Below are 19,762 nucleotides of genomic sequence, written 5' to 3'. Positions count from 1 at the left end.
ACTTTTACACTGCTGGTGGGAATGTAAACTAGTACAGACTCTATGGAAAACAGTATAGAGATTCCTTAAAGAACTAAAAGTAGATATACCATTTTATCCAGCAGTCCCACTATTGGGTATCTACCCAGAGGAAACAGTCATTATATGAAAAAGATACTTGCACACGTGTGTTTATAGCAGCACAATTTGCAATTGCAAAAATATGGAACCAGCCCAAATGCCCATCAGTGAATGAGTGGATAAAGAAATTGTGGTATAATACCATGGAACATTACTCAGGAATAAAAAGGAATGAAATAATAGCATTCGCAGAAACCTGGATGGAATTGGAGACCGATATTCCAAGTGAAGTAACTTAGGAATGGCAAACCAAACATCATATGCTCTCACTCATAAGTGGGAGCTAAGCTATGAGGGTGCAAAAGCATAAGAATGATACAATGGACTCTGGGGACGTGGCAGAAAGGGTGGGAGGGGGCTGAGAGATAAAAGACTACACACTGGTTACAGCGTACACTGATTGGGTGGTGCGTGCACCAAAATCTCAGAAATCACCACTAGCAAACTTATCCGTGTCATGTAACACAACCTGTTCCCCAAAAACTATTGAAATAAAATAAAAAATAACAAAATAAGTAAAGCAGGTCATCACTCCATAGTCATTTTAAGATTTTTGTTGTCAGTGGTTCTCAAAGCCTACGAGGTACCCAAGACCCAATGAGGGGGTCCTTGATAAAATCTTTTCCAACTACATATATATGTGAGGCTGGATTTTCTTTATATACTTGAACCAAATTGCACATGCAACAGATTTAATTCAGTCTTCTATTAAAACAGATTTTGAAGAGATTGGCGAAAATGCAAACAGGGCCGCTGTTATTCTATTTTTGATTTGAAAAGTATACTATTATTTCATATGTTAAAATATGCTATTTTGTTGTAACGTATTCATTGATTATTTTAAAATCAATTTATTACAAATATCTTTAAACTGTTCCCCATTTTAATGCCTAATATAATAAATACATTTTACCCATGTAAATTAACACTCTTTGAGATCATTGATAATTTTTGAGAGCAGAAACCAGATAGTCTTGGCTATTCTTGATCTTTTGCATTTTTATATTAATTATAGAAACAGCTTGTCTAGTTCCCTAAAACCAGAAACACAAATCTGTTGCAATTCTCATTGTGACTGCTTTTAGTTTGTAGATCAACTTGGAGAGATTTATTTTTTAAATGTTAAGTTTTCTGGTCAATTAAAGTATTGTATCTCTCAATTTAATAAGATTTCTTAACATTTTTCTCAATCTTTCACAGTGTTTTGGTCACATATTTTTATGTATTTTAAATAAAATCCATATTTTCATGTATTTTAAATAAAATCTTTTAATTTTATTTTCTGCTTTTTGTTGCTGGTACATAGAAATACAGGTTAATTTTGTATGGTCACAATAAATAGCGCTTTGCTAAACTCACTTATTAGGTCTAATTATTTTTCTGGTTTTTCTTTTGGATTTTCTACTTATAGTTCAAGACCTCTGCTAACAGTGGCAGTTTATTTATTCATTTCCAATTCTTATGCTTTTATTTCTTGCATATTTTTCTTGCTAGAACAACATGGAATACAAGTAATCATATCAGGTATACTTGTCTTGGACCTGATTTCAAAGTAAAGTTTTCAACTTTTACCACTAACTGAAAACATCTTTAAATGTTACAAGTTTTCTGTAATTACTCTTCCTTACATTAAGAAGTTTTCTTTCTATTAATATTAATCATTTGTTATGAGTTCATAATCATGAATAAATGTTGAATTATATCAATTGCTTTTCTGGTCTGTTGAGATAATTATAAGATTTTTTTCTTAATGTAGCATACCATAGTGACTACTTTAAAAAAAATGTTTAATATATTATTCCTGAAGTAAACTTCATTGTCATATTTTTTTTTCTTTTTTTTTTTGAGATGGAGTTTCACTCTTGTTGCCCAGGATGGAGTGCAATGGTGCGATCTTGGCTCACTGCAACTTCCGCCTCCCAGGTTCAATTGATTCTGCTGCCTCAGCGTCCCGAGTAGCTGGGATTACAGGCATGTGCCACCACACCCAGCTAATTTTGTATTTTTAGTAGAGATGGGGTTTCTCCATGTTGGTCAGGCTGGTCTTGAACTCCTCAGGTGATCCACCCTCCTTGGCCTCCCAAAGTGTTGGGATTACAGGCGTGAGCCACTGTGCCCAGCCCTTTTTTTAAATATATGTTTCTAAATCAGTTTGCAAACATTAGGATTTTTGTATCTAGGTTTATAAATGAAATTGGTCTGTAAGTTTTCCTTTCTCAAAGTACCCGTAGGGTATCTTGACATTCCAGTTGAGCTAATAACCTTAAATGTTTGATAGAGTTCACCCTTGAGGCTACTGAGGCCAGTTCTCCTTGTGGTAATATTTTAAATTATGGATTCATTTTTTTTATGGTTATAAGGCTATTTACATCTTGGTAAATTTATTGGCATGTTTTCCATAACATATAGCTTTATATATGTTGCATAACATATATGTAATGTCTGTAGGATCTTTGATGGTATTAGCTTTTCTCTCTCTGAAATTGATAATTTTTTACCTTTGTCTTATTTTTACTTTCCAGATTATTCTACTTAGGGGTTTATTAATTTTATTATCTTTTCAAAGAACCAGGTTCTGGCTTGGAGAATTCTTTCTTGTACATTGGTTTCTATTTCATTGATTTTTGTTCTTATTATTTCTTTTTATCTACTTTTAGTTTACCTTTTTCTCTTTTCTAACATCTTGAGCTAGATTCAGAGCTTATTAACTTTTTAGTCCTATCCTATCTGTCATCTATAAAATTGAAGCTGTAAATTTCTAGCTTTAGTTGCTTTTCATAACCTGGATATGTAGAATCTTAGCTATCCTTTAATTTAAAATATTTTCATATTTTCTTGTAATTTATTCATTGACCTATGGGTTGCAAATAATTATATTTCTTAATTTCCAAAACTTGTGGCAAGATATTATTGTTACTCATTTCTGTCTTAATTCTACTCTGATCAGATATTTTCTGTAGTATTTTAATAATTAAAATGTATTGAGATTTCCTTTGGTCAGTTTTTATAAATATTTTAGGTATCCTTGAAAATAATTTTTATTCTATGGTTGTAGGGAACAACAAACCATATATCAAGTCAAATTTGTTAATCTTTTTGTTTAAATCTTCTATGCCTTATTATATTTTTCCTGTCTTTTCCATGATATTGAGAAAGTTGAATTAAAAACCTCTATAATAATTATGAATTACTCCTTGTGGTTATGTCAGTTTTTTTTAGAATATTTGCAGTTGATTATAATAGTTGCATACAAATTTTGAAGTGTTTTATCTTACTGGTGAACTGAACATTTTATTCTTAAAATGTGCCTCACTTTTTTCCTTTTAATGCCTGTTGTCCTTAAGTTTACTCAGTTTGAATTAATGTATTTATTTCAGTTTTTGTTTATTTTTTTACATGATACATTTTAAAAAAACGGTTTTACTTTCAGGTAATGTGTCTGTATGTTTTATATACAAACATGAGTCTTTTATTATAATCTTACAATCTTTGTCTTTTCATTGGAGTTTCCAATTCATTTACATTGAATATAATTACTAATCTTTTTGAGTTTAACTCTCCAGTTTTCTTTGTGTTACCTCTTTCCCAAACTGCTTTCTTAAAAAATTTCTTTCTGTTTTCTTTCCATGGGTAGATTAGTTTATATTATTATTCTTTGTTTACTGTTTATTTGGAATCTTTCTCTCTTGGAATGTTTGCTCTTTTAGTTTTCTAAATGGCAAGTAAGGGAAAAAAATGCAATTTAAGCCAACTACTGACTTCCATGATGAATTTTATGCTGTTAAAAAAAAAATCCTGTTTCCTAAGCCATTATATAAAATGAGTAATTTTTATATCCTTATTAGCAAGTAAGTAGTAAAATTTAAAGGTGAGTGTATCTATAGCAAATATATCAAGTGCTTTTAAAAAAATCTGTTTCAGAAGTAGTTACATTTTGGATACTGAGTTTAATGCCCCCTTTCCTTTTATATTTACATTTTATCCTTAAATAGCATTGACAATTGCACTTAGGTTGCAAATAATAGTGAAGAATGAGTTTTCTTTCTGACATGCTTAGCAAAGTGATAATATTGGGTATATTGAAAATGGCAACATTGTAGTTTAATTATGTGCATTTTGTTTCATATCTGGAGGGTCACGTAATCGGTGATCACTATATGATGTAGATATTTTGCAGATGTTTGTCATTCAATCACATAAATAAGCAGTGCCTTCCTAAATCAAAAGACATAGAAGCAAAAGGAAGTATATAACCCAGTGGATTTTATTGTTCATAGCTTCTCTCCAGTTGTCTATTTTACATATAAAATGAAGTCTATTTTATCTTATATATATGTTCCATTGCCCAGTTTGGAAATAAATTCACAGTAAAATGATCATTAAAAAATAACCCCTACTGGACAGTATTTTCCATTTTGACAAGAGCTTTCAAAGTCTTCATCCAATGGAAACAGTCCAAGTCTTGTTCCATTTTGGAGTCAAAATTATGTTTGTTATTACTTGCTTGTTTCATTTGAGGGTCTCTGTTGCACTTCAAGTCACAGCATATACAAAGTCAGTGCTTTTTGTCTATAAGCACAGTTAACTTGACAAGCCTTTTCAAGGATGCTTAAGTCCAGCTGTCATGATTACATATAATTACAGGCTCTCCAGCCTCTTCTCAAACTTTTGGGTGAGAGAAAATTTACTATTTCACGAGGATACTACTCTTAATTCCAGAAAGTTTTAGGTAAAAAGTTTATCTATTTTTAATCCAAATATCTTCTTCCTGTAATTGTTCCACTGAGTCTTCTTGTTCCCTGCTAAGCTGCAAAGCTTGGTTTAAACTGTCTGTCTTGGGTGTTCTTGACAGCAGCCTGTGTGGCTCTTCAGAGAAGTTTTCCTCCCTCTGCCTCGTGGTCTCTGTTTATAGAGTGGCCATTCCATTTTCCCACTTTCTGCCTTCACCAGAGAAGAAGGAGGAGTGCATCAAGAGGAGTTTTTGCTCTCCTCTAGATGCGCTCAGGGGTATTGAGGTTTCCTCTAAAGGGCGGAAAAGAAGTGGCATAGAAAGAGCGAAAGAGCTAGATAGGGAGAGAAACATGTATAAAAGAGATGAACATAGAAAAACAGAGAAAGAGACAGACAGCAGAAGGCAGAGGCACCAGGATGGAAGAGCATGGCCAGGGGCTGAATGATCATTTGTCAATATTCCCGTAGACTTCACACTCTTGATATTTTATTTTTTTTAATGCAGCCGAAGGTCAATATATTTTGGCTATCTCATCACACTGTTGATTCACATTGAGCTTTTAGGCAAAACAGCTCTTTTTAGAAAACAAACACAACAGTAATTTAACTAACATTCATTGAGAGTTGAGTCTGTGACTGATAATTCTTTAAGGTCATTTAATCCGACAACACTCATAAAAGATCAGTACTGTTTTTATTATACCCATTTTACGGATGAATAAATGGAAACACAAAGAGGTTAAGCAACTTGCTCCAGTTCGTGCAGTGAGTAAATGGTAGAGCAAAGATGCCAGACCATCTTCCCTATCCTGTGCTTGTGCTCACATAATTTTGATAACATCTGGACTATATTCATCTATATAATTTTATTTTTCATAAATTTGGCCCATCATTTCATGCTGCTATTTTTAATCTCAACTCACCCATGTGTTGGCTGTTTCTCAGATTCTTTTTATTAGCAAATTATAAGCAAATCACTTTTTTCTTATTCAAAGCATTCACGGACTTGATGAACAGAATGGCCAAGGATGCGGTATAATGGTATATGCTTTGAGCCTTTTCTCCAAGTAATATTGATTCATGTACCCTTTACATCAGGACATTTATCATTATTTAGTACAATCTAGAATTAATATTCAGATATATTTTTCTATATTATTATTGATATTATGATATTTGTAGTATTTGACTGTAACTCATTTATGCCAAGTTTTTCTATTCTAATGGTTTACCAGTAGCCCTATCAAATTATTTATTGGAATAAAATTATAGTTAAAAATCTCCCGAGTAGTTTTAATGGGATAATTTTTAAAGGTAATTGACATTTCAGTGATTTTGAATTATGCAAAATAGTTTTCTACAATTAGAGATTCTTCATCGGATCCTTAAAATATAGATATAAAGATGACTGTGTGTGTCTGTGCGGGCAGATAAGCATGCATATATATGTGTATGTATAAACATTTTAGATGTATATATTTAGGCCAGCTTTATTTTTAAAAATTTAATTTGGGAAATATAAATTTGACTTTGTATAGTATTATAGTTCCAATCCTGGAAATTTTTCAGAGTTCAAACATTGAAAGTGGCTCAAGTAGTGAAAATAGTATTCAACTGGTGAAACTAGTCCAAGTAGTAAAGAACGGCATTTCTTTTTTGCCTTCTAGAATTGTCCAAGTTATAATCTTATATTATAACAAATATATGGCCCTTTTGGCATTGAGCAAACCACAGGTAGCAAGAAAGTGAGTTGAATTTGCAAATCGAAATATAGGGTGTTTTAGTCTTTTTCCTTCACCTCTTAATTTATTTCCAGATTGACTACTAGAAAGTGCAATTAAAAATTATACATGTTGCAAAAAATATTGAATCCCTGGATTTCTGTGGGGGTGTTTAGGCAAGTCATATTAGTAAGATATGAATTAAACTACCAAGGTATTTTATTAAATGATCAGGCATGGCAAGTACTCACTGAAAAATGCTTGAACAAGTAGTGCCAGGTTGATGTCCACTGGCAGCAGCATAAATTGTCCGACTTCCTTATCTTTGTTTCTGCAGCTTCTTTCTCTTATCAAGGAGAGAGAAAAAGCCTATGCATTTTGCAAATAGAAGATGGTCAGAGGGTGAAACAAAATTAGTATGTATGTCTGTAATTGCTCAATCATTTCCCCAAAAAATCACTGCAAATGACTCTCTTTTTCTTTGCAGGGATAATTGTGCACCTGTTTTTCAAGACACAAAAGCTGGTTTTGCCTTTGTGCATAAAATGTGATTTGGAGAATTTGGGGATCATGTAACCACATATTTACATAATCAAATGGCAAACTGCAACTTATTTTAAGCTCATAGATTCTTTGTTCTTCCTTACCCAACAATCATGTAAACAATGCTAAAAGCACTGGTGTCGGTCTGACACTTGGAGAGTTAGGTTTGATTTGTATAACACTATATCAAGGACACAGAGCAGACTGATAGATACAAATGATTCTAGAACATTCTACTGAAAATACCTCCTATTTTCTGGTACATGCCAAAGCCATTTTTAGAATTTTTCATCTACCCACCTTGCGCACATTACAATTTGTGTTCCCTGGGGGCAGGGGAAGAAGTATAAGTTTTCTTGTTGATGATCCAAGAAATATGAATAAAGTTGTTGGCAGATGGTTCGCACATTTCATTCTGAAATATCTTATAGTGACAAATAACAAGTGTACATAATTAGCTCTATGCAGATGGCATGCCAAGTGTTGATATTCATCTCTGCAAACTTTTTACAAAGATACTATTTTAAGAGTCAAGATTTAAAGACAGCCTATAAGCCCTCTAAAGAGGAATAAGCAGAGTTTTATCATAAAGGACCATGGTTATCCAGTAAACCTTTTCTAGACCAAGTTTCCCATCCTGAAACCATGTTGTATCCCAAGGGGAAGGAACCCTAAAGTGAATTGTGTCTGTAGCTACTGATCAGATTGATCTGTTTAGGTTGTTTTGATTGGATTGACAGAAGGCATGCACCAATGAGTTCAGAGGTGTGTGTTCACCAAAGTAAACCATGCTGCCCTTCTTTCTCTTCCTCCAACAAGCCACACCTTTGCATCTGCCTTTCTCTCTATCAGGAATGCTCTGCTCTCAAGTCATTTCACGGCTGGGGCCTCTCATCAGTCAGCTTTTAACCTAATTTGTCACCTCAGAAGGGCTTTCCCTGACCACCTACACACTACTTGTTCCTTCTCACTTGCCAGTTCTTCTAATTTTATTCTGGTTCATTTTTCTTATAGTTCTTATTACTACCTTTAAGATAAGTGATAAGTAAGGTCCTTGATCTTATGGTTCACTATTTTATCCCCAGCCTCAATCACAGTGCATGGCCTGTGAGGGTTAAGGGACTTTTGTGAATGGCTTATGAGCTACTCACTAGTTATAGTTATTCAAATGTTTAATACTTTCTTTGTATTTATCAAGTATTAGAACATACACAGCCAAAATGAGCACATTGAGCTAATATTATCTTTGCTATAAAGATTTTATTAGTTTTTTTCCTGATATTTGCTTTCATTTAGTTTGATGGGTACATATGGTAGACAGAGAAATGTGGGCACAGACCAGGACTTGAATATAAATAGAGAGCAGAATTTTATGTACTTGTTTTTTCTTTTATAGTTTACCAATAAATAGGAATCATGCCACATTTATTTGTTATTTATATATTGTCTACTGTGAGGTAATGTGCCTAACATATATTTTTTGTTATTAATTGAGGAGAGCAAAGATCACCTGGTGATCATCAAACAGGCCAGACAGAGACAAAACTCCTTATCTGGGGAATTTATAAGTAATTAGATTTCCTTATTATCTAAAGTCAGCATCTGGTTCCAGTCCTCTTTCCAAAAAGAAACTTATAAGTAACTAGAATTTCTGTACATCTCCGGAATGCATGCATGCCCAAACTCTTTGTACAACCCTTGCTGACATTAAGGCACCAAAATGTCTACAAATATAATCCTTTATCATGATCTACATGGCTAATTAAGGCAATAAAATGTCTACCCATATAATCCTTTATCATGATCTACATGGGTAATATGGTCCAAAGTACCGTTAAGCTCCCCCTTTAAGGTCCATAAATGTTCCTAAGGAAAACCCACCACAGCACATACATTCCTCTTTTGCTGAGGTACCCTGCACTCTTCTGCAGCATACTTTCTATCTAATAAAACTTTCCTTTTCAAACCTATACTGTCATCAATAAATTATTCTTACCAACCTGCAAGTCAACCTCTTTGCAATGCCGGGGCCCTGATACCTCACCCGGCATTAATGCTGTACTGAATATATGAAAGGGAAAGTATCGGGGGACCTGCCCCGATAATCACGTAGGTTCTTTTCTATTTTCCTAATCGTCAGCTGGCTTCAGAAATAAAGGGACAGAGTACAAAAGAGATAAATTTTAAAGCAAGGTGTCCATGGGAGACATCACACGTTGGTAGGATCCGTGATGCCCCACCAGCCACAAAAACCAGCAAGTTTTTATTAGGGATTTTCAAAAGGGGAGGGAGTGTGCAAATAGGTGTGGGTGACAGACGTCAAGTACTTAACAAGGTAATAGAATATCACAAGGCAAGTGGAGGCAGGGCAAGATCACAGGACCACAGGACCCAGGCCAAATTAAAATTGCTAATGAAGTTTCGGGCACCATTGTCATTGATAACATCTTATCAGGAGACAGGGTTTTGAGATCAACCGGTCTGACCAAAATTTATTAGGTGGGAATTTCCTCTTCCTAATAAGCCTAGGAGCGCTATGGGAGACTGGAGTTTATTTCACCTCTGCAATCTCGACCATAAGAGACAGGTACGCCCTGGGGGGGTGGGGGCCAGTTCAGAGACCTACCCCTAGGTGCGCATTCTCTTTCTCAGGGACGCTCCATGCTGAGAAAAAGAATTCAGCGATATTTCTCCCATTTGCTTTTGAAAGAAGACAAATATGGCTCTGTTCTGCCTGGCTCACCAGCGGTCAGAGTTTAAGGTTATCTCTCTTATTCCCTGAACAATTGCTGTTATCCTGTTCTTTTTTCAGGGTGCCCACATTTCATATTGCTCAAACACACATGCTGTACAATTTGTGTAGTTAACGCAATTATTACAGGGTCCTGAGACGATATACATCCTTCTCGGCTGACAGGATTAAGAGATTAAAGCAAAGACAGGCATAGGAAATCACAAGGGTATTGATTGGGGAAGTGGTAAGTGTCCATGAAATCTTTACAATTTATTTTTAGAGATTGCAGTAAAGACAGGCATAAGAAATTACAAAAGTATTAATTTGGGGAACTAATAAATGTCCATAAAATCTTCATAATCCACGTTCTTCTGTCATGGCTTCAGCTGGTCCCTCCGTTTGGGGTCCCTGACTTCCTGTAACAGGAAAGTGTTACCTTATTGGTGAGACTGAATGCCTAGATTTTCATTGTGTTTCCTTCATACATTTAATATTATAATTTAAAAAACATTCAGTGTCTGGGCTCAAAAATTTATGTATAAGAAAATATTTATAATACAGGTTTCTGAGATTTGGTGGAGCTAATGAAGAGAATTTACTTGAAAGAAATAGAGGTAGATGTTAGTCTTCTTTTGCAAGATAAATTTTGGATGATTCTTTCAAAGAATAGCATCATTGAGTTTTCCTTTTGGTAATACCATATTTTCTGATAAATTGATGTATGTTTCATGGTTTGAATCACGGCTTACAATGTTTTTTTCCCATCTCCTTTCACTGAAATTTTGAGATGTTTCCTGTTTCTTTAAAACAATTTGAGCGTTTGTCTTGATTCGTAATCTTTTTCCAGATCTCAAATATTTGTGCCTCTGGTTTTAAGCAGAACAGCTGAAAATTTTGAGAACTCACTCAGTGAAACATAAACAACAGGTTTAAAGTACCAAAATGGAACATTACCTTCTTCCCCCTTGTCTTTTTAATTGTTAAATTTAAATGCTTTAGACTGAATATCCATAGAATGTAATGATTGCCTCAGCTGGGATTCTGTTGTCTTCCAATTTCTTCATGTATTTTTAAAAAATGCAACTGTCTTGTTTTTAAAGATGCTGCAGTTTCTACATGTTTTTTCTATTCTCTAAGCTTTTAGTGCACAGAGAAATCCTTATAATAGCCCTTTTTTCAACTTTCATTGCAAAAAGTTGGCCACATTAGTGACCAAATCTCTAAAGTCTTAATTGCAGTGGGCCCCAATGTGCTGTGAATGAAATCAACTGATCCTAATTGCTCCCTATTGGGAGGGCTTCCTGGAAAGCAGTTTTCTACATGTAACACTTCGGAAGCCATAGGAAGCCCAGCAAGAGCAGATGAGAAAAAACACTCCAAATCTGAAGTCTAGTAAACTGGAGTTACAAATCAGTTTCCATCTCACAGGACACTTTGGGGTGATGAGTGGTCTAGGCTGTGTATTCTCCCAGGGTAAACAACGTACATCTACGTGCTGGACTAGAACTTAGCGTAAATGTTTTGCTTTAATTAACAAAAACATGAAAGAAAACGTAAGTACTAATTTCCTTTTCTACCTTTATAAATACTCATTTCAATTCATTTAATCCTTATTTCTGTTATAATTGCAAGCCCTCCAGGGCCATTGTGTCCTCTGAAGCTCCTAAGCCAATCATGACCAGGATAAAATGAATTAAAATAGTCTGCTGCCTTCTTCTTTCATTGATGAGCACTCATGTTTTCTTCCATAGTTTATTTTTCAAATAAAGTAAAATATTTATTATTAATTTCTAGTCTAGTGGGTATGTATGTGTTCTTTGCCATGGGAGATTGCACATTCATCATTTCATCTGATCATGAGGAACCAGCAGACAAGCCTAAATTCAGAGGCATTCTTCAAAAATAACTGATCTGTACCCTTGGAAATTATCAGTAACATGAAAGACCAAGAAAGGCAGAGAATGTTACAGATAAAGGAGACTAAACAGATAGGACAACTGAATAATCCAGGATTGTCTTTTGCTTATGGGTACAAAGGGAGCAATCAGAGAGCTCTGAAAAAGGCCTATAGATTGGTCGCACTATCGTATCAAAGTTACTCTCTGCACCTGTAATCCCAGCTACTCAGTGAACTGAGGCAGGAAAATTGCTTGAACCTGGGAGGCGGGGGTTGCAGTGAGCCGAGATAGTGCCAATGCACTTAAGCCTGGGTGACAGAGCAAGACTCCGTCTCAAAAAAAAAAAAAAAAAAAAGTTACCTTCCTGTCTTTGATAATTATGTTATGATCATGTAAAAGGACATCTTTGTTGTTAGAAAAGTTACATGGAAGCACTTAGAGAAGCAAATGGGGAAAATTTCTGGAAGTTATTCTCAAATAGTTCAGAAAACAATTATACATGGAGGAAGAGAGAGAGAAGAAAGAAAGTAAATGTGGAAAAATGTTGAAAATAGTGGTAAAGGGTACAAGGATACTTCCTATTTTGTAAATTTTATGCTTAAACTATTCCAAAATAGAAAGTTAAAAACTTGGCCCTCCAGTCAGGCATGGTGGCTCATGCTTGTAATCCCAGCACTTTTGGAGGCGAGGCATGTGGATCACCTGAGGTCAGGAGTTCGAGACCAGCCTGGCCTACATGGCAAAACACTGTCTCTACAAAAAATACAAAAATTAGCTGGGCGTGGTTGCCAGCACCTGTAATCCCAGCTACTCGGGAGGGTGAGGTAGGAGAATTGCTTGAATCCAGGAGGCGGAGGTTACAGTGAGCGGAGATCACGCCACTGCACTCCAGCCTGTGTGACAAAGCGAGGTCTCAAACAACAACAACAACAAACAAAAAGCTTGGCCCTCCTTGTGGAATCCTTCTTAGAGAGGGCTGACTCCTCTGGTGGATGTTGTGCCTGACCTCTTCTCCAGGAACGGCCTCCCAGCTGTGCCAGTTCTTTCAAAGCCAACTTAATATCTATAATTTTATTCACAATGCTTGGTCTTCCAGAGATTCTATTATCTGTATATTATTTTTCTACATTTATACTTCTATATTTTTATTTAAAAGATTATATTTCTTATTTTCAAAATATATTTTGTTTGCCCTATCAATGATCCCAAAACATTCAAGGTGACTTGCCATTAGGATAGACAACAGAAGCTTTAAGAAGTAAATTACACTTATATTGTTTCTATGATGTGTCAGGCATTATAATGAACATATTTTGTAGAAAATTTATTACTTATAACAATGTTGTGAAATACTCTAAGTATTACTGTGAGAAAAGAGGCTCAGAGAGATAGTTATGAGATTTTCCCAAGTTCATATAGCTAGTGACAGGTGGGGGCAGAATTTGAACCCACTCCTTTCTAGCTTTAAGTTTATTCATTTTTCACTACTATGCTACTCTGTACATATCACATACCTTTATACAAATTAAAGGCCAAGATCTATGTAGTGAAGATATGATGATATAAAAATAATATTATGACAACACTGTAGATGAGCAATATAATTTCAAAAATAACATGATGAACCCTGCCTTATATTGATGCAAAAAGGAATGGTAAGAGCTTGTCAGGGGAGATAAATGACACACTGGCATGAAATTCTAAGAGTTTTCAAGAGCCTTGTGTTTCTACCTCTACCATTCCAAGACTTAGAAAGCATGCTGGTCTTCAAGTGCTTCCTGACTTACTAAAATATGACTAACAAGTATTCTTAGTTAAAGATTGTATTAAAGTCACTGAAGAAGATGCACTTCTGGGGCATGTACGGGTCTCTTTTGTCTCTAGACAATAATGATCTAGAAATTGGTATGACCTCTAAAGGAGAAGATATCAAATAATCCTAGATAAACCAAACCTAAATACCACTTTGGAGGATGCCAAGAAAGAACTATAATAAAGGCAAGAAATGGGAATCCAGCCATTGCGTCTTTGAGGCTCTGCAATTCATACATGTAAGAAGTTTTTCTGACTCCTCTGAACCTGAACCTGTTCTCCATCCACATGCATGGTTTCATGAGTTGATTCAGCATAACTGTATTTGCTCAACACGTATTTATTGATCTCCTATCTGCCAGGCACTGTTGTAAGTGCTGAGGTTACATAAGTGAGTAAGACAGTCACACATTTTTAGGGTTTATATTCTAAGGAATGAGAAAGACAATAAAGGAGCAAAATAAATAAATTATTCAAGAATGTAATGTCATATTTTGTAAGTGCTATGAAGAATTTATGCTTGGCATATAAAGCTGAGCGATGTGAAGAGACTATGGGTAGATAGGAAAGTCCTGTCTGAATAGGTGACACTTATTCTAAGATTTGATTGACTATAGAAACCTTCTGTATGAGAAGTGAAGGAGTCAATTCCATCAAGTGGAATGATAGGTACGGAAGCCCTAAGACAAGTAAAGGTTTGATGTTTTCCAGAAATAGAAAAAAGCCAGTGAGGCAGGATTGTGTTGCATGAGGAAGAAGACGTAAGAAATAGTGTCGACAAATTAGAACAACCATGATAGGTCATGATCAGTGGTTTGGATTTTGTTCTAAACATGGTGGATAGTCACTAGAGGGTCTTTTTCTTTTATTTTCTTTTTTGAGATGGAGTCTCGCTCTGTCACCCAGGCGGGAGTGCAGTGGCACAATCTTGGCTCACTGCAACCTCCACCTCCCAGGTTCACGCGATTCTCCTGCGTCAGCCTCCCAAGTAGCTGGGACTACAGGCACGTGCCACCACACCCAGCTAATTTTTGTAATTTTAGTAGAGACGGTTTCGCCATGTTGGCCAGGCTGGTCTCTAACTCCTGACCTCAGGTGATCCACCTGCCTTGGCCTCCCAAAGTGTTGGGATTACAGGCATGAGCCACTGCACCTGCCCACTAGAGGGTCGTAAGCTGGGATGTTATATGGTGTGTGTGTGTGTTAAGTTCAGGGGTATATGCACAGGTTTGTTATACAGGTAAACTTGTGTCAGAGGGATTTGATGTACAGATTATTTTGTCACCCAGGTATTAAGCCTGGTACCTATTAGATATTTTTCCTGATCCTCTCCCTCCTCCCTCCCTCCACCCTCCAATAGGCCCCAGTGTGTGTTGTCCCCCTCTATGTGTCCCTATGTTCTCATTGTTTAGCTCCCACTTATAAGTGAGGCCATGCAGGGTTTGGTTTTCTGTTTCTGAGTTATTTTGCTGAGGATAATGGCCTCTAGCTCCATCCGTGTTCCTGCAAAGGATATGGATTGTTCTTTTTTTTGGGGGGGGGGGGGCGGGGCTGTGTAGTATTCCATGGTGTATATGTTCCACATTTTTCTTTATCCAATCTACCACTGATGGTCATTTAAGTTGATTCCCTGTCTTGCTACTGTGAATAGTGCTGCAATGAACACGTGTGTGCATGATATGTCTTTATAACAGAACGATTTATATTCCACTGGACATATACTCAGTAGTGGAATTGCTGGGTCAAATCATATTTCTGTTTTTAGGTCTTTGAGGAATCGCCATACTGTCTTCCACAATGGTTGAACCAATTTACACTTTCACCATCTGTGTATAAGCATGCATTTTTCTCTGCCACCTTGCCAGCATCTGTTATTTTTTGACTTCTTAATAGTAGCCATACTGACTGGTGTGAGATGATATCTCATTGTGGCTTTGATGTGCATTTCTCTAATGATCAGTGATGTTGAGTTTTTTCTTTCATGTGCCTTTTGGCCACATATATCTTCTTTTGAAAGTGTCTGTTCATTTCTTTTGCCCACTTTTTAATGGGATTTTTTTTTCTCGTAAATTTGCTTAAGTTCCTTATAGATGGTGGACCTTTGTCAGAGGCAGTGTTTGCAAACATTTGCTCCCATTCTGTAGGTTGTCTGTTTATTTTGTTGATAGCTTCCTTTGCTGTGCGGAAGTTCTTTAGTTTAACTAGACCCCATTTGTCCATTTTCGCTTTCGTTGCAATTGCTTTTGGTGTCTTCATCACGAAATCTTTGCCTTTTCATATGTCCAAAATGGTATCACCTGGGTTGTATTCCAGGGTTTTTATTGTTTTGGGTTTTACATTTAAGTCTTTAACGCATCTTGAGTTAATTTTTTTAATATGGTGTAAGGAAGAGGTGTAGTTTCAATCTTCTGTATATGGCTAACCAGTTATCCCAGCACCATTTATTGAATAGGGACTCCTTCCCCCATTTTTTTGTTTTTGCCAGGTTTGTCAAAGATCAGATAGCTGTAGGTGTGCAGTCTTATTTTTGGGTTCTCTGTTCTCTTCCATTGCTCTTTGTGTCTGTTTTTGCATATATGGTGTATATTTTAAAGTGATCTTTTTGGCTGCTTGTTGGGAAGTGGATTATAGAAAGGCAGGAATAGAAAAACTGAGAAGATTTGGTAGGCTGTGATAATAATCAGGGCAAATTATAGGGAACTACCTGTGCAGTGGAAATGAGGGGGTAGATTTGGGATACATTTGGGGACTGTAGTAGGCAGGCAGAACAGACTAACTGATAGATTAGAAGTGAATGAGAAAATTAAGAGTGATCTGAATTTTGGGGTTAAATAATTTGGTAGATGCTTGTGTCATTATGGAAGAAAATTATTTTATTTTAGTAACGAAATTACTTCATTAATATGACTATCATGTAAATGTAGGTACTAAAAATGGCCTTATTAATGTTTTAGGTTGTTTTTTCTCTACTCCAATTGGACGTTTTAATGGCAAAGTAAAGCATCAAATAACTTTTTTTTTCTTTTAGCATCTTTTTTTTTTTTCAAAAAGTCAGGATGCCAGACTTTTCTACTCTTTATATGTAAATATGTGAATAATATAAGAAAAGCTTACAATTTTATATTTTGAGGTTTAATTGATAAAACATTGAAGACAATATTAAGAGCTAATTTTAGAGCTTTCTAAGTACATAGTCTAATCACAGACAAATGGTGAACGATAGATGGACAAATATTGCTGAATATCTAACACACAATACTATGTCTGGGACATAATTATCATTCAATAAATGTTTTAAAAACAATTATATAAATTAAGCACTGAAATGCTTCCCAAGAAATGTGCTATGAGATCTGGGTAGCCTCATGATATGGTCTGTGATTAACTTTTATATTATATTTATTATACTATATTTATTATTTTATTATAGCAGAGTGACCAGAAAGGAGAAAATCTATTTCCTAGAAACTAGATTGAGGGTCAGGGTTCTTAAAACCCAGTGAAATATTTCATCATCTCAGTGTAAGAGCAGACAAAGGCACCATTTCTTTCTTAGGTTCTTACAGCAACAGTTTTATTAGAACTGTACTAGATCCTACATGGTTCTACTTGAGACTGTTTCAAAGACCTTGCCTTAGCAGGATTACAGAGGATGCTCAGAGCAACAGGTGTCCTCAGTGGGCCCCTTCTGCTCATACTCTATATTTTGGGCCAGACCAGTTACTTTGAACAACAATCTGAGTTACAACAAGTTCCACTGAGCTCTTTTTGCCGAATTTACTTTTTGCTGAATTTATCCCAGGATTTGTAACCAAACAGGGCTTTTTATAGTGTTGTACCAAGATTTTGGTAAAATTAAGCCTCATCTTTGTATAGTTATTTATACAAGTACATTATTGGGTATTATAAATAATTAGGCTCTGTATAAGGTTATTAGACCTTTTGGCTTAAAAGTATATCATTTGATGATTTATTTTTATTTTCTATTTTTTATTTCTTTTGCCATTAACCTTTTTACTCTCCCGCTGCTTGTTTTGCTTTTGCCATTGTCTGTATAGTACAGTCTGGTTTTATTTTTATTTTTATTTTTTTTGCTTTTTCTTGGACATTCTTTTTTTGTCGAATATATAAGGGAAACTTGTATAGGTCATGCGTGAGTGGAGGAATAAGCCACCATTCTAATACAATCCAGCTCTGAGGGCCAATGATTGCAGGTTTGTTAGAGTGGTGACCAATTCATGAAAAGTTAAGTGGTCAGACTTTGCCCTGGATGCTCTATAAATCTTTCATGAGAACCCTCCCTGTTTAGTCAGTTTGTAAAAGGAGAAGCCTCCTTTGTTTAATCTGCATTCCAGCATTATTGCATCATATGGCCCCTTCCTAGTCTCTGCTTGGTTTGAGAATGTGAGACATTGTTTGCAAGCTCATGTTATTGACGAAAAGTAGTGGCGCTTATTTTTTGTCTGTTTTTTCTTTGTCTGTGTCAAAGCCATAGCCTTCTTATGGGAAGAAATCCTTGCTTCCTCAAATTACTATATATTATCAGCAGTCTGTTATGCCTGATAAGCATAGCTCTCTCTTATTATAAAAATCAATAAATTCATCTTTACCTTTCTATTTCAGATATTGAGTGGTGGTCTCATAATCATCTGGTAATTCTGGGTTTGTCAGTATGTGGAATATAAAGACAAAGGTAAAATTATTGTTTAATAGAGTAGGGCATATCTCTGTTGGTCAGGAAGTCTCCCCCCAAAAAGAAACCTACTAATTGTATGTAAGGTTTTGAGAAGCATGGAGTTCAGGGATTGGTGGATTTTCAGAAGTATAAGTGGTTTTATCACATCTGTGTATGGTGTGGTCACTGTTGAGTATTTGGCATTGAGTAGTGTGTTTGTTGGAATGAGTACATTTCTGATTGTCAGACTTTCAAAAACAAAAGGCTGCAATTGATCATTTGGCTTGTAAAAGTGTATTCACAGAGGCTGATTTTCAGTGATGGATGAATGAGTTTAAAACTGGTTCTTGTAGCTCCTTGTTAACATAGCTGCAGAACAGTCATTTTCTAGGAGGATGGAAACCTCTCTTATTTTCAGTACCGTGGTTTCATTCTCATTCAGCCAAAGCTTCATTAGAGACTATCAAAAGAAGAGTTCTTTAATCTCTGCATTTTGACATATTGGATCAAATAATTCTTTGTTGTGTTTGTGGCCAGGAGGTTGTTCAGTGCATTATAGGATGATTAGCAACATTCCTGACCTTTACTTAACAGATACCAGTGACACCACCTTCCCTTAGTCTTCATAATCAAAAATATCTCCAGACTTTGCCAAATGTCCTCCAAAGATGGGGATGGAGAGAGATCAGCCATAGTTAAAACAAACAAACAAACAACCATGGTGTAGGAGATAAGTGTCTCTAGTAAAGACTAAACTTAAGAAGAGGACAATTATAGGATAAATATGAGGGGCAAATCCTTAAAATAATAACGAGAAAAAGTATGAAGTACAAAATAACCAGGAGTATGTAAAGGGTTGTATGACATAGGAGAATCTTATTCCACTGGTTTTGGGAGAAAGCTGTCTACTTCTTGTCCTCAGCAGCTTATGCTAAGAATCATAAGTTTGCAGTAAATTTCCACAGTGTATTTGCTCCTGGAGGCTCTCTGAAACCTCTGTTTATCTAAAGGTAGTAACTTTCCACTTCTGCTACAGGTCCTTTTCATTTTTTTCCACAGAGAATAGTGAGTGATAAAGACAATGCTTCTGAGTAGGTGGCAAAGCTTTGCATGATTCAAAATTATGAATAAGTGTTCCAGTAACATATGTCCTAGATTACTCGGTAAATACCTTAGAATGTTCTAGACAGGGAACACAAAATCTAATAGTATTTTTGTTTTGATTTGGTTTTGCCTCTGTGGATGTTGTGGCTTTTGTTAGATTCACCATTCAGCAAATCTATAAAATAAATAATAGATAGATAGATACCGATATACACACACATATATGGAGTCTTCCTCTGTCACCTAGGCTGGAGTACAGTTGCTCAGTCTCAGCTCAATGCCACATCTGCCTCCAGGGTTCAAGCAATTTTCCTGCCTCAGCCTCCTGAGTAGCTGGGACTACAGGTATGCACCACCATGCCTAATTTTTGTATTTTTAGTAGAGTTAGGGTTTCACCATGTTGACCAGGCTGGTCTGGAACTC

General features: G+C 35.7%; 1 long non-coding RNA gene across 3 annotated transcripts in view, besides 1 other annotated feature; it reads left to right on the top strand.

The window, feature by feature from the left end:
- Positions 1–19,762, top strand: part of LOC105369165 (uncharacterized) — a 486,292-nt gene that overhangs the window by 86,633 nt on the left and 379,897 nt on the right. The window lies entirely within an intron of this gene.
- Positions 9,173–10,114: an enhancer, noted in NCBI's record as "OCT4-NANOG hESC enhancer chr2:53339359-53340300 (GRCh37/hg19 assembly coordinates)". NCBI's record gives its function as "activates a minimal SCP1, AML or CMV promoter by ChIP-STARR-seq in naive H9 embryonic stem cells {active_cell/tissue: H9 hESC(naive)}" and the evidence as "EXISTENCE:reporter gene assay evidence [ECO:0000049][PMID:30033119]".

Source organism: Homo sapiens, chromosome 2, assembly GCF_000001405.40.
Source record: "Homo sapiens chromosome 2, GRCh38.p14 Primary Assembly".
Taxonomy (NCBI): domain Eukaryota; kingdom Metazoa; phylum Chordata; class Mammalia; order Primates; family Hominidae; genus Homo; species Homo sapiens.
This window is presented reverse-complemented; position numbering and strand designations above follow the sequence as displayed.